At 35.4% G+C, this 14,252-nt stretch overlaps 1 protein-coding gene across 12 annotated transcripts in view; it reads left to right on the top strand.

Annotated features, from left to right (window-relative positions):
* The window catches only part of COL21A1 (collagen type XXI alpha 1 chain), a 337,539-nt gene that overhangs the window by 273,285 nt on the left and 50,002 nt on the right, over window positions 1-14,252 (top strand). For 2 of the 12 annotated variants that reach the window (NR_134850.2, NR_134851.2), the window contains exon 17: window positions 12,032-12,056. The exons of the other annotated variants lie outside the window; for them this stretch is intronic. The gene's annotated coding sequence lies outside the window, so the exon portion shown is untranslated. The remainder of the gene's footprint in view (window positions 1-12,031; window positions 12,057-14,252) is intronic. 12 annotated transcript variants of the gene reach the window in all.

The following is a 14,252-nucleotide window of genomic DNA, read 5'->3' as shown; positions in this document are numbered from 1 at the left end:
GGATCATATGGTAGCTCCATTTTTAGTTTTTTTTTTTTTTTTTTAAATTGAGACAGAGTTTTGCTCTTGTTGCCCAGGCTGGAGTGCAATGGCATGATCTCAGCTCACTGCAACCTCTGCCTCCTGGGTTCAAGCAATTCTCCTGCCTCAGCTTCCCAAGTAGCAGGGATTACAGGCAACTGCCATGATGCCCGGCTAATTTTTGTATTTTTAGTAGAGACATTTCGGCATGTTGGCAAGGCTGTTCTCGAATTCCTGACCTCAGGCGATCCACCCTCCTTGGCCTCCCAAAAGTTCTGGGATTACAGGCATGAGCCACTGCGCCTAACCCATTTTCAGGTTTTTTGAGGAATCTTCAAACTGTCCTTCACAGTGGTTGTACTAATTTACATTCCCACCAACAGTGTACAAGTGTTCCCTTTTCTCCACATCCTCACCAGCATTTGTTATTGTTTGCCTTTTGGATAAAAGCCATTTTAACTGGAGTAAGATGATATCTCATTTTAGTTTTGATTTGCATTTCTTTGAGTATCAATGATGAACATCTTTTCATATGCCTGTTTGCCATTTGTATGTCTTCTTTTGAGTAATGTCTATTCAAATATTTTGCCCATCTTTTGATAAGATTATTGGATTTTTTTTCTACAGAGTCCTTTGAAATTTTTGTATTTTCTGGTTACTAATCTCTTGTCAGATGGGTAGTTCGCAAATATTTTCTTGAATTTCATGGACTATCTCTTCACTTTGTTGATTGTATACTTTTCTGTGCAGAAGCTTTTCAACATGATTTGTCCATGTTTACTTGGGTTACCTATGGTTGTAAGGTATTGCTCAAGAAATCTTTTCTGAGATCAATGTCCTGGAGATTTCCCCCAATGTTTTTCTGTAGTAGTTTCATAGTTTGAGGTCTTAGATTTAAGTCTTTAGTCAATTTTGATTTGATTTTTGTGTATGCCAGGAGATAGGGGTCTAGTTTCATTGTTCTGCATAGGAACATCCAGTGTTCCTAGCACCATTTCTTGAAGAAACTGTCTTTTCCCTAGTGTATGTTCTCGGAATCTTTGTCAAAAATGAGTTCACTGTAGGTATGTAGATTTGTTTCTGGGTTCTCTGTTCTGTTTCATTGGTCTTTGTATCTGTTTGTATGCCAGTACCATGTTGTTTTGGTTAATATAGGTCTGTACTATAATTTGATGTCGGGTAATGTAATTCCTCCACTTTTATTCCTTATGCTTAGGATAGCTTTGGCCATTCTGGGTCTTTGGTGATTCCATATAAATTATAGGATTGGTTTTTGTATGTTTCTGAAGAATGTCATTGGTATTTTGATAGGAAGTTCATTGAATCTGTAAATTCCTTTGGTATTATGGACATTTAAACAATATTGATTCTTCAAACCCATGAACATGAAATATTTTTTTATTTTTTGGTGTCCTCTTCAATTTCTTTCATTAGTGTTTTATAACTTTCATTGTAGAGATCTTTCAATTCTTAGATATTTAATTTTATTTGTGACTATTGTAAATGGGATTACTTTTTAAATTTCTTTTTCAGATTGTTCACCATTGGCATATAGAGATGCTACTGATTTTTGTATGTTGACTTTGTATCCTGCAACTTTACCAAATTTATCAGTTTAATAGTTTGTTGGTGGAGTCTTTAGGTTTTTCTAAATAAAAGATTATATCATCAGCAAACAAGGATAATTTTACTTCTCCCTTTCCAATTTGGATGCCCTTTATAACTTTCTCTTGTCTGATTTCTCTAGCTAGGACTTCCAGTACTATGTTGAATAAGAGTGGTGACAGTGGACACCCTGTCATGTTTCAGATCTTACAGGAAAGGCTTTTATTTTTTTGTCCCCATTCAGTATGATGCTAGCTGTGGGTTTGTCATAGATGGCCTTTATTATGTTGAGGTATGTTCCTTCTATATCTACTTTTTTGAGGGTTTTTATCATGAAGAGATATTTAATTTTATCAAATGCTTTGTCAGCATCAATTGAAATGATCATATGGTTATCTGTCATTCTGTTTATATGATGTATCATTTTGATTGATTTGCATACATTTAACCATTCTTTTATCCCAGCGATGAATCCCACTTGGTTGTTGTGATGAATGATCTTTCTAATATATTGTTGAATTTGGTTTGTTAGTATTTTGTTGAAGATTTTTGCATCAATATTCATCAGAGATATTGGCCTGTAGTTTTGTTTTGTGGTATGTTTTTGTCTGGTTTGGTGTCAGGGTAATACTGGCCTCATAGAAAGAGTTTGGAAGTATTCCTTCTTCCTCTATTTTTCAGAATAGTTTGAGTAGGATTGGTATTAGTTCTTTAAATGTTGGGTCAAATCCAGCAGTGAAGCCATCAGGTCCCAGGCTTTTCTTTACTGGAAGACTTTTTATGACAGTTTGCATCTTGTTACTTGTTATTGGTCCTTTCAGGTTTTGGATTTCTTCCTGGTTTAATCTCAGTAGGTTGTATGTATCTAGGAGTTTGTCCATTTCATGTATATTTTCCAATTTATTGGCATATAGTTGCTCATAGTAGCCACTAATGATCCTTTGAATTTCTGCAGTATCATTTATAATATCTCCTTTCTCATTTCTGACTGTATTTTATTTGGGTATCCTTTTTTATTTTCTCGGTTACACTGGCTAAAAATTTGTCAATTTTGTTTGTCTTTTCAAAAAAAACAACTTTTTGTTTCATTGATCTTTGTGCTTTTGAATTTCAATTTCATTGATTTCTGCTCTGATCTTTATTATTTCTTTTCTTCTACTAATTTTGGGTTTGGTTTGCCTTGCTTTTCTAATTCTTTAAGATGAATTGTTAGATTGCTTATTTGAAGTTTTTTTCTCTTTTTTGATGTAGATACTTAGAGCTATAAACTTCCATCTTACTACTGTTTTTGCTGTATCCCATAGATTTTGGTATGCTGTGTTTCCATGATTACTTGCTTCAAGAATTTTTTCAATTTTCTTCTTAATTTCTTCATTGACTCACTGGGCATTCAGGAGCATATTGTTTAATTTCCATGTGTTTGTATAGTTTCCAAAATACCTCTTGTTATTGATTTTTAGCTTTATTATATTATCGTCAGAGAAGATGCTTGATATTATTCCATTTTTGGAATGTTTGAAGACTTGTTTTGTGACCTAACCTATGGTCTGTCTTCGAGAATAATCCACATGCTAAGAAAAGAATTTATATTCTGCAGCTCTTGGATAAAATGTTCAGTAAATATCTATTTGATTCGTTTGGTCTGTAGTGCAGATTAAGTCTAATGTTTCTTTGTTGATTTTCTATCTGGAAAATCTGTCCAATGCTGAAAATGGAATGATGAAGTCTCCAGCTATTATTGTATTGGGGTCTATCACTCTCTTTAGCTCTAATAATATTTCCTTGCTATATCTGGATGCTTGGGTGTTAGGTGCATTTAAAATTGTTATATCCTCTGCTGAATTAACCCCTTTATCATTGTATAGAGACCCTTTTCTCTTAGTTTTTGACTTGAAAGCCATTGTGTCTGACATAAATATAGCTAGTCCTGTTCTTTTTTGGTTTCTGTTGGCATGGAGTATCTTTTTCCATCCCTTTATTTTTAGTCTATGTGTGTCTTTATAGGTGAAGTGTGTTTACTGTAGGCAATAGATCAATGGGTATTGTTTTTTCATCCAGTCAGCCAGTCTATGTGTTTTGATTGGAGAGTTCAGTTTGTTTACATTAAATGTTATTATTTATAAGTAAGGACCTACTCCTGTTATGTTGTTATTTGTTTTCTGGTTGTATTTTGGTCTTTCCTTCCTTCTTTCTTTCATTCCTATTGTCCTCTAGTGAAGATGATTTTCTCTGGTGATATAACTTAGTTTCTTGCTTTTTATTTTTTGTGTATTCATTGTATGTATTTATGAGCCTTACAGATATTATTTTATAACCCATTATTTTAAACTGATAACAACTTAATGCTATTTGCATAAACAAACAAACAAGCAAAAAGAAAACTAATAAAAACTTGCCTTAACTTTGTGCCCCTGGTTTTTAACTTTTTATTGTTTCAATTTATATTTTATTGTACTGATTATGTTTTTTAAAGTTGTTATAGTTATTATTTTTGATTGGTTCATTATTTAGTCTTTCTATTTAGGATAAGAGGAATTTACACACCACAGTAACAGTGTATAATATTCCGTGTTTTTCTGTGTGCTTATTATTACCAGTAAGTTTTTTACCTTCAGGTGATTATTTATAGCTCATTAATGTTCTTTTCTTTCTGTTTAAAGTACTGCCTTTAGCATTTCTTGTATGGTAGGTCTGGTATTGATGAAATCACTCATCTATTGTTTGTCTGGGAAAGCCTGTCTTTCTCCTTCATGTTGAAGGATATTTTTGTGGATATACTATACTAGGGTAAAGTTTTTTTTTTTTTTTTTTTTTTTTTTTTACCTTTGGCACTTAAAAAATGTCATGCATCATGCTACTCTCTCCTGGCCTGTAAGCCTTCCACTGAAAAGTCTGCTACCAGACATATTGGAGCTCCATTGTATGTTATTTATTTATTTTTGTCGTTTGCTGCTTCTAGGATCCTTTCTTTATCCTTGACCTTGTAGAGTTTGATTATTAAATGTCTTCAGGTAGTCTTTGGGTTAAATCTGCTTGGTGTTCTATAGCCTTCAAGTACTTGGATATTGATATCTTTCTCTAGGTTTGGGAAGTTCTCTGTTAACCCTTTGAATAAAGTTTCTACCTCCTATCTCTTTCTCTACCTCATCTTTAAGGCCAATAACTCTTAGATTTGCCCTTTGAGACTATTTTCTAGATCCTGTAGGCATACTCTATCATTTATTATTATTTGTCTCCTCTGACTGTTTATTTCCAAAGTCTATCTTCAAGCTCATCAATTACTTCTTCTGCTTGATTCATTCTGCTATTAAAGGACTCTGATACATTGTTCAGTATGCTAATTGCATTTTTCAGCTCCAGAATTTCTGCTTTGTTTCTTTGTAATTATTTCAATTTCTTTGTGAAATTTATCTAATATAATTCTGAATTCCTTCTCTGCATATCTTGAATTTTTTACAGTTTTCTCAACACACCTATTTTGAATTCTTTGTCTTAAAGGTTACATATTTCTATTTCTCTAGAATTGATTCCTGGTGTCTTACTTAGTTGATTTGGTGAGGTCATGTTTTCCTGAATGGTGTTGATGCTAGTAGATGTTCTTCAGTGTCTGGGCATTGAAGAGTTAGGTCTTTATTGTAGTGTTCACTGTCTGGGCTTATTTGTAGTCATCCTTCTTGGGAAGCTTTTCCAGTTATCTGAAAGGACTTGGGTGTTGTGATCTAAGCTGTTTCTGCTTTAGGGTACACCCCAAGCCCAGTAACATTGTGGTTCTTGCAGACTTGTAGAGGTACCAACTTGATTGTCTTGAACAAAGTCTGGGAGAATTCTCTGGATTACCAGGCAGAGATTCTTTTTCTCTTCCCTTACTTTCTCCCAAACATACAGAATCTTTGTCTCTGTTCTTTTTTTTTTTTTTCTTTATTATTATACTTTAAGTTTTAGGGTACATGTGCACATTGTGCAGGTTAGTTACATATGTATACGTGTGCCATGCTGGTGCGCTGCACCCACTAACTCGTCATCTAGCATTAGGTATATCTCCCAATGCTATCCCTCCCCCCACCCCACAACAGTCCCCAGAGTGTGATATTCCCCTTCCTGTGTCCATGTGATCTCATTGTTCAATTCCCACCTATGAGTGAGAATATGCGGTGTTTGGTTTTTTGTTCTTGCGATAGTTTACTGAGAATGATGATTTCCATGACATGAACTCATCATTTTTTATGGCTGCATAGTATTCCATGGTGTATATGTGCCACATTTTCTTAATCCAGTCTATCATTGTTGGACATTTGGGTTGGTTCCAAGTCTTTGCTATTGTGAATAATGCCACAATAAACATACGTGTGCATGTGTCTTTATAGCAGCATGATTTATAGTCCTTTGGGTATATACCCAGTAATGGGATGGCTGGGTCAAATGGTATTTCCAGTTCTAGATCCCTGAGGAATCGCCACACTGACTTCCACAATGGTTGAACTAGTTTACAGTCCCACCAACAGTGTAAAAGTGTTCCTATTTCTCCACATCCTCTCCAGCACCTGTTGTTTCCTGACTTTTTAATGTTTGCCATTCTAACTGGTGTGAGATGGTATCTCATTGTGGTTTTGATTTGCATTTCTCTGATGGCCAGTGATGATGAGCATTTTTTCATGTGTTTTTTGGTTGCATAAATGTCTTCTTTTGAGAAGTGTCTGTTCATGTCCTTCGCCCACTTTTTGATGGGGTTGTTTGTTTTTATCTTGTAAATTTGTTTGAGTTCTAAATGCCCACAAGAGAAAGCAGGAAAGATCCAAAATTGACACCCTAACATCACAATTAAAAGAACTAGAAAAGCAAGAGCAAACACATTGTCTCTGTTCTGATACACCTAAAGCTGGGGATGGAGTGATACAAGCACCCCTGTAACCACCACCACTATGCTCTGGGTCAGATCTGAAGCCAGCACAGCACTGGGTCTCACCCAGTGTCTGCTCTGACCACTCTCTGGCTGCTGCCTATGTTCGTTCAAGGCCCTATGACCCTACAATCAGCAGGTGGCAAAGCCAGCCAGGCCTATGTCTTTCCCTTCAGGATGGTGAGGTCCACCAACCCCCAAATGGGTCCAGAAGTTCCATCTTGGAGTTAGGGACTAGAGTCAAAAGCCTTAGATGTCTACCTGGTATACTGTTGTGTTGCAGCAGAGCTGGCACTTAAACCACAAGACGCAGTCCTTCTCACTTTTTTCTCTCCTTTCAAAGGCAGAGGAGCCTCACCTCATATCCACCACCACCCCTAGCCATGAGGAGTACTGCCAGATGACCACTGACGTTTCTTTGAGCCCCAAGGTCTCATAAGTCAGCTTATGGTGAATGCTGCCTGGCCTGGGACTCACTCTTTAGGGCAGTGGGATCCCCTGTGGCCCAAGGCAGGTCCAGAAATGCTGTCTAAGAGTCGAGTCCTGGAATTGGAGACCTCAAGACTCTGCTTGGTGCTCTACTTCCCCGTGGCAGTGTTGGTACCTAAGGTGTAATACAGAGTTTCCTTTAATTTTCCCTTTGCTTGTCTCAAGCAGAAGGAGTTTTACCCCATAGCCACCACAGCTTAAGGCTGAGTCTCACATGAAGCCAACAAGTCTCAGAGGTTCACCAAGGCCCTTGGTGTAGTACGTAGGTATCGCTGCTAGTTATTCAGGGCCCAAGGGCTCTTCAGTTAACAGGTGATGAATGCTGGCAGGACTGCATCCTTTCCTTCAAGGCAGTGGGTTTACTTCTGGCCCAGGGTGTGTCTAGAAATGTCAGAAATGTCTAGAAATGAGCTAAGGCCTGGAAAGGGGGCCTCTTGACTCTGGCCAGTACCCTATCCTGCTGTGGCTGAGCTGGTATTCAAGATACAAGACAAAGTCCTCTTCACTCTTTCCTCTCCTCTCCTCAAGGATTATAGAAGGAAGGGGTCTCTTTTGGATCCATGAGCTTTGCAGTCTGGGGTTAGGAGAAGGATGCTGTCAACACTCTCTTGGCTGCCCCAATGTGGGTCTCAGTATGTTGTGTGCCTCCCCAGTCTACTGTCTGTGGGCCTAGTTCAGCACTAGGATTCTTTTATGAGTTGCAGACATTATGGCCTAGGCTCCCTTTCAAGTTTACTTGGAGACTGAAGCGCTTTGGCCCTTGGTGGTGAGGTTTACAGGCACTCAAGTTCAGACCACTGGGATGGGTAATTCTCCTTTGGCTGGGGCTGGTTTAAATGCTTCCTCTGGGCCTAGCGCCGTGACTCATGCCTGTAATCCCAGCACTTTGGGAGGGCAAGGCGGGCAGATCACCTGAGGTCAGGAGTTTGAGACCAGCCTGACCAACATGGAGAAACCCCATCTCTACTAAAAATACAAAATTAGCGGGGCATGGTGGTGCATGCCTCTAATCCCAGCTACTTGGGAGGCTGAGGCAGGAGAATCGGTTGAACCTGGGAGGCGGAGGTTGCAGTGAGCCGGAATCACGCCATTGCACTCCAGCCTGGCTAACAAGAGCGAAACTCCGTCTCAAAAAAAAAAAAAAGAAAAAAGAAAAGAAAAAAAAACTTCTTCTGTGGGCAGGCATCAGTTGAGTTTGGTCTGGTTTTCCTTTCTGCTTTAACAGGAGAGCACTGGTTTCAGTGGTTCACAATTGTTGTGTTCTCCCTTCATTAGCACCCAGAAATGCTTTCCACTCCATGCTGCCTCTGCTGGGGAAGGGGGAGGGGTGGCATCGGTAATTCAGGATTGTTTTTTCTCTCTCTTCAGTGCCTCTTTCAGCAATATGGAGTTAAAACCAGGTACTGTGAGTGCTCACCTGATTTTTGGTTCTTTGAAAGTGTTTTTTCTTTGTAGATAATTGTTAACTTGGTGTTCTTGCTGGGAGGGGGTGACAATCGGTGGAGCTTTCTACTCCATCTTGCTTGCCTCCCTCCTGATTTATTTTGAATTAATTTATATGTATGGTATGAGATAAAAATCAGGTCTCATTTTTTTCCCATAGGGAGATTCAGTTATTCTAGCACCATTTATTGAAGACTTTCATTTCCCTTTGAATTACATTAGAACTTTTGCCAAATATGAATTGATCAATATGTGGGAAACTATTTTTAGATTCTCAATTCCATTCCACTAATTTATACCCATATTCTTTCCTCAACAACGCAGTCTTAATTATTATAGCTTTAAAATAAACCTTGAAATTGTGTGGTGTAAATCCTCTAATTTTTTTTTTTTAGAAATCATAATGATATTATAGATTTACATAAATTCCATATTATTTTTAGTATCAGTTTTAAAATTTTTACCAAGAGAGCCTGTGGGATGTGTTAAAGTTTTTTCTTTTTCTTTTTTTTTTGAGACAGAGTCTCACCCTTGACACCCAGGCTGAAGTGCAATGGCACGATCTTGGCTTACTGCAACCTCTGCCTTCCAGGTTCAAGCCATTCTCCTGCCTTAGCCTCCTGAGTAGCTGGGATTACAGGCACCTGCCACCATGCATGGCTGATTTTTTTTTTTTTTTGTATTTTTAGTAGAGATGGGATTTCACCATGTTGGCCAGGCTGGTCTCAAACTACTGACCTCAGGTGATTCACCCACCTCAGATTCCCAAAGTGCTGGGATTACAGGCATGAGCCACCATGCCTGGCCAAAGTTTTTAGTGTGGAATAATTGTAGATTGCAGAAAAGTTGCAAATATAGTAGAGAATTCCTCATACCCTTTATCCAACTTCTGTTGAAGTTAACATTTTATATTACTATGGTATATTTGTCAAAACTAAGAAACCAATATTGGCACATTACTGTCAACTGGACTCCATACTTTATTTGGGTTTCATTAGTTTTTCTACTAATGTAATTTTTCTGTGCCAGGATCCAGTCCAGGATACCACATTACATTTATTTGTCATGCCTTCCTATTTCCCACTGATCTGTGATAGCTTATGAGTCATTTCTTGTCTGTCATGACTTTGATGGTTTTGAAGAGTATTGACCAGGTATTTTGTAGAATATCACTCAGTTTGAGTTTGTTTCATGCTTTCCTCATGATTAGATTCAGATTATAGTTTTTTTTTTTTTTGGAAAAGGATAACAGAGGGTTCAAGTGTCCTTTTTATCAAATCAGAATGTACATGCTACCCAGATGAAAATTCATTGGTGATATTAATGATGATCACCTGTTTTATAGTATTTACAAGCTTTCTTACTACTTTTTCATCCCATATTCTGTTCTTTGGAAGCAAGTCACCAAATTCAAGCCCTACTCAAGGTGGGGTGTAGACTTAAGCTCCAAATCTTAGAGGGAAGAGCATCTTCATGTCTCTAAATTTATTTGGGGAGAGTTGCCATCTTAACAATATTGAATTTTTCAATCCATGAACATGGTATATTGTTTCACTTATGTGAGTTTTCTTTATTTTATCTCAGCAAAGTTTCATAGTTTTCAGATCTTGTAAGTCTTCTGTTAAGTTCATATCTAAGTATTTTATTGTATTTCTTCATACTCATAAATAGACTTTGAAAAATTTTTCAGTTTGTTGCTAGCATATGGAAATATTGTTAGTTTTGGTATATTGATTGTATATCCTACAGTCTTATTAAATTCACTTATTAGTTCCTGCAACTTTTTTTGTTGATTTCTCAGGTTTTTCTACATAGATGATTATATTGACTACAAATAAAGACAGTTTTCTTCTTCTATACTAATTTATATGAAATTTATTTATTTTAATAGTTTTATTCACTAAACAAGCCCTCAATACAATAACAAATAGAAGGGATAAAAGCACATATTTTTGCCTTGCTTCTGACCTTAGGTAGAAACCATCAGTCTTTTAACATTGAATGTTAGTTGTTGGTTTTACATAAAAGCCCTGCATCAGGATGAGAAAATTCCCTTTTATTCCCAGTCTATTGAGAGTTTTCTTTTAAAATATCATGATTAGATGTTGAATTTTGCAAAAAAAAAAAAAAAAAGCTTTTTCTGCCTTCACTGACTTGATTATATAATTTTCCTCTCATATTTTCTTAATATACAACATTGATTTTTGTATGTTACACTAATTTTGCATTATTGGGATAAACCACAATTGGTTATCTTATAATATTCTTTTTATACATTACTGGATTCAATTTGCAAATGTTTTATTTCATATTATTTGTGTCTATGTTCATGGATGATTTTGATCAGCAGTTTTCTTTTTCGTGATATTTTTGTCCAGCTTTAATATCAAAACAATACTGGCTTTTCTTTTCTAAAAGCATTTGTGTAGTGTTAGTGTCATTTCTTCTTTATATGTTTGGTAGAATTCACCAGTGAAACCCTCTGGGCCTGAGCTTTGCAGGTGTGTTGTGTGTCTAAGGAACATTTTAATTAATAATACACCTATTTAGATTTTATCTTTCTTCTTGAGCAACCTTCAGCAATTTGTACCTTTCAGTGAATTTGTCCATATCATTTAACTTGCAAATTTCTTGGCATATTTTGTTTACAATATTGCCTTATTCTTGTCCTTTTAATGTCTGTAGGTTTTTAGTAATGTCCTTTATTTCATTCCTGATATTATTTTGTAATGATAATTTCTTATTGATACTTTACAATTGAAATCAAGCACTGCAGAATATTTCCTACTCTTCCCCTCTGTCATTTGAGCCTGGTTCTTTTTGTTCTTGGATAACTTTCTCTTATTTTTTTCCATGGGAATTTGTCTGTTTAAGCATTCTTTCTCTCATAGGGTCAATAATAATAAGCTTCACTCTCCTAGGGAACTATTATTTCATCTATATTTTTCAAGTGACTTGTATAAAATTGTGCAAGTTCCTCTCATGATTTTTAAAAAGTTTTCTCTGTTTTAATGATTATTCTCCCTTGGTCATCATTTCTTACTTTGAATACATATGCTTTCACTCTCTACTTTTCTTTTTTTTACTTTTATATGTTTCTGGTTTCCCTCCTGTGTTGGATTTTTTCAAAGATCCAACATTGTAATTTGATTTTTGACTTCATTAAATTTTTGTTTTTTACTTTTATCCTATTTTATTTCTTTATTCTTTTTTCCTACATTTTTTCTAGCTTTTGCAATTGAGAATTGAATTCATTTACATTCGTTTTTTGTTATTTTTTATCTAAGTAGTTAAACTGAATATTTTTCTCATCTTTGTTTGAGTTGTATCCCCTTGATTCTGATATGCAATGTTTTCATTAACTTTTTTTAAAATAAATTTTGTAATTCTAGTTTTTCTCTGTTTCCTAAAAGTTGTTTAAAGAGTTAAAAGTCTTTTTAGGGTGAAAATCCTTTTATTTAGATTTTGTTGCTAATTTCTGATATTATTGTGCTGTATCAGAGAATGTTTGTATAATTTCTTCTTTATAAGTTTTAGTGAATTTTTTCTTTGACTTATTGTATGTTTAATTTTCAGGAATGTTCCCTGTGCATATGAGAAGGTAAATCTCTATTTTCAGAGTGTAAAACTCAATATACATTCATAAGAACTACCTTATTGAATATCTTATTTAGATCTTCTATAACTTAATTCTTTGTTTGTTTGGCCTGTCTTGAACAGAGAGTGGTATATTAGTGTCCTATTATTCGTGCATTTTTGTCTATTTTTTCTTTCACCTTCTGTTTCATGAATGTAGTTTCTACGTTATTCATTGTATAGATATTTTTAACTCCTACATCTTCATTTTGAATTGTGGCTTTAGCATTATAAAATATATTTTTTGTTTCCTTTAATAATTTTTCACTTGAATTTTACCTTCTCCAGTATCAGGATTACACGTTTTCTTTTTATTTTTATTTGCTTGCTGCACCTTCGCCCATCCTTCTATTGTCTAGCTTTAGCTTTTTGAGTCACTTTGTTTTAGTTGTGTCTCTTGTATCAAGTGTAGAGTTGGTCTTTGCTTCTTAAAGCAATCTGAATTTTTTTATTTTAATAGATTAAGTCTATTTTCACCCATTGTCTGATAGGTTTGGTCTTATCTCTGTCAAAATACTCACGTTGTAATTTTGTTATTATGTAAATTATGCTATACTGACTATATTTCTTTCTCAATGTGTTTTTGTTGACTTTTCCTATTCTGCTTTTAATTTCTTTGGGATTTAGGAAAATTTATATTTTTATTTTAGTGGTCTTTATACTACGTTTACTATTCCTTGTAAATATCCGTTTCAGAATTCTGTTATTCTCCCTTTACATACCTTGAGCATCAACTCTTTGTTGTGTTAAATTTAAATTATACCCTATTATCTATGTGGAAATTAATGAATTCTATTTTCTCCTTTTCTTTAATCTTTTCTTCTTGTTTATTTCTACCTTATCAGATTATATAATATTTATAAAATACTTTTTACACTTTATCTTTGTTTCAGATCTGCAATTAAATATACTCAGTGTTTGTCACCAGCACCTTTACCAATATTCCACGGTCACATTTGGGTTTAATAAAGGTTTTCCTCCTTTGGAAGGGCTTGTGAATACAGTATTCTGAATTCTTGATATTTTAGTATGTTTTTCTACACTTTTATTATTTGAATGACAGCTTGGCTACCTATAAAACCCTTGTCTCACCACTTTTCACTGTTTTTTTTCTGAATTTCTTAGAAATATTGCTTACACTGCCAACATGTGTGTTGCTGATGCCAATCTAATTGTCTTTCCTTTGTGACTCTTTTTCCTATGAAGATGAGAGTTTAAAACAAAAACAATTTTGCATTTAAAGTCTAATAGCATATGTTTCAGAATTTAAAATCCCAGTTACTCCAAAAAGCTTTAGAAAGGAAGATTCAGGGATTTTTTTTTTTCTGGAATGTTCTTTTGAATTATAGTTTTAAATATAAATTCTGTTACTTTTTTTTGGTTTGTATCTCAAGGACTCCAATTACAGATATATTGAAATTTATTTGTCTTCTATCGTTTCTGAGCCTTTAATGTGTTTCAAAAGTCTATTTTTATTGGCTATGCTTGTTTTCTCCTCATTGACGTTTATAATTTTAAGTGAAATCTATTCTCCCTTGGTTTCTAGTAATTTAATCATCGTTCTCATCTGAGATGATTTTGTCTTTTTGATTCCTGAATAAATTCTTATTTCATATCTTCCTTTTATACATTTTTATTCTGAATTTTTTAACTAATAAAAATACTTGGCCGGGCGCGGTGGCTCACGCCTGTAATCCCAGCACTTTCGGAGGCCGAGGTGGGTGGATCATGAGGTTAGGAGATCGAGACCCTCCTGGCTAACACGGTGAAACCCCGTCTCTACTAAAAATACAAAAAAATTAGCCGGGCGTGGTGGCGGGCGCCTGTAGTCCCAGCTACTGAGGAGGCTGAGGCAGGAGAATGGCGTGAACCCGGGAGGCGGAGCTTGCAGTGAGCCGAGATGGCGCCACTGCACTCCAGCCTGGGCGACAGAGCGAAACTCTGTCTCAAAAAAAAAAACTTGTATAATGTTTGTTAATCCAGGTTACAGTATTTTGTTTCAGTTTTCTTTATGTTTATTTTTGTGTGAGGAAAATATGAAAAGTTTTTATTATTTTTTTCTTTTTGTTCTCTGTTTTGGATATTATCTGCCAATTCTTTTCAAATTTGAACTATCCTGTATATATTTTGACCTGTAATAATAAACAGGGTTGTACATGTT

Source organism: Homo sapiens, chromosome 6, assembly GCF_000001405.40.
Source record: "Homo sapiens chromosome 6, GRCh38.p14 Primary Assembly".
Lineage (NCBI taxonomy): Eukaryota > Metazoa > Chordata > Mammalia > Primates > Hominidae > Homo > Homo sapiens.
This window is presented reverse-complemented; position numbering and strand designations above follow the sequence as displayed.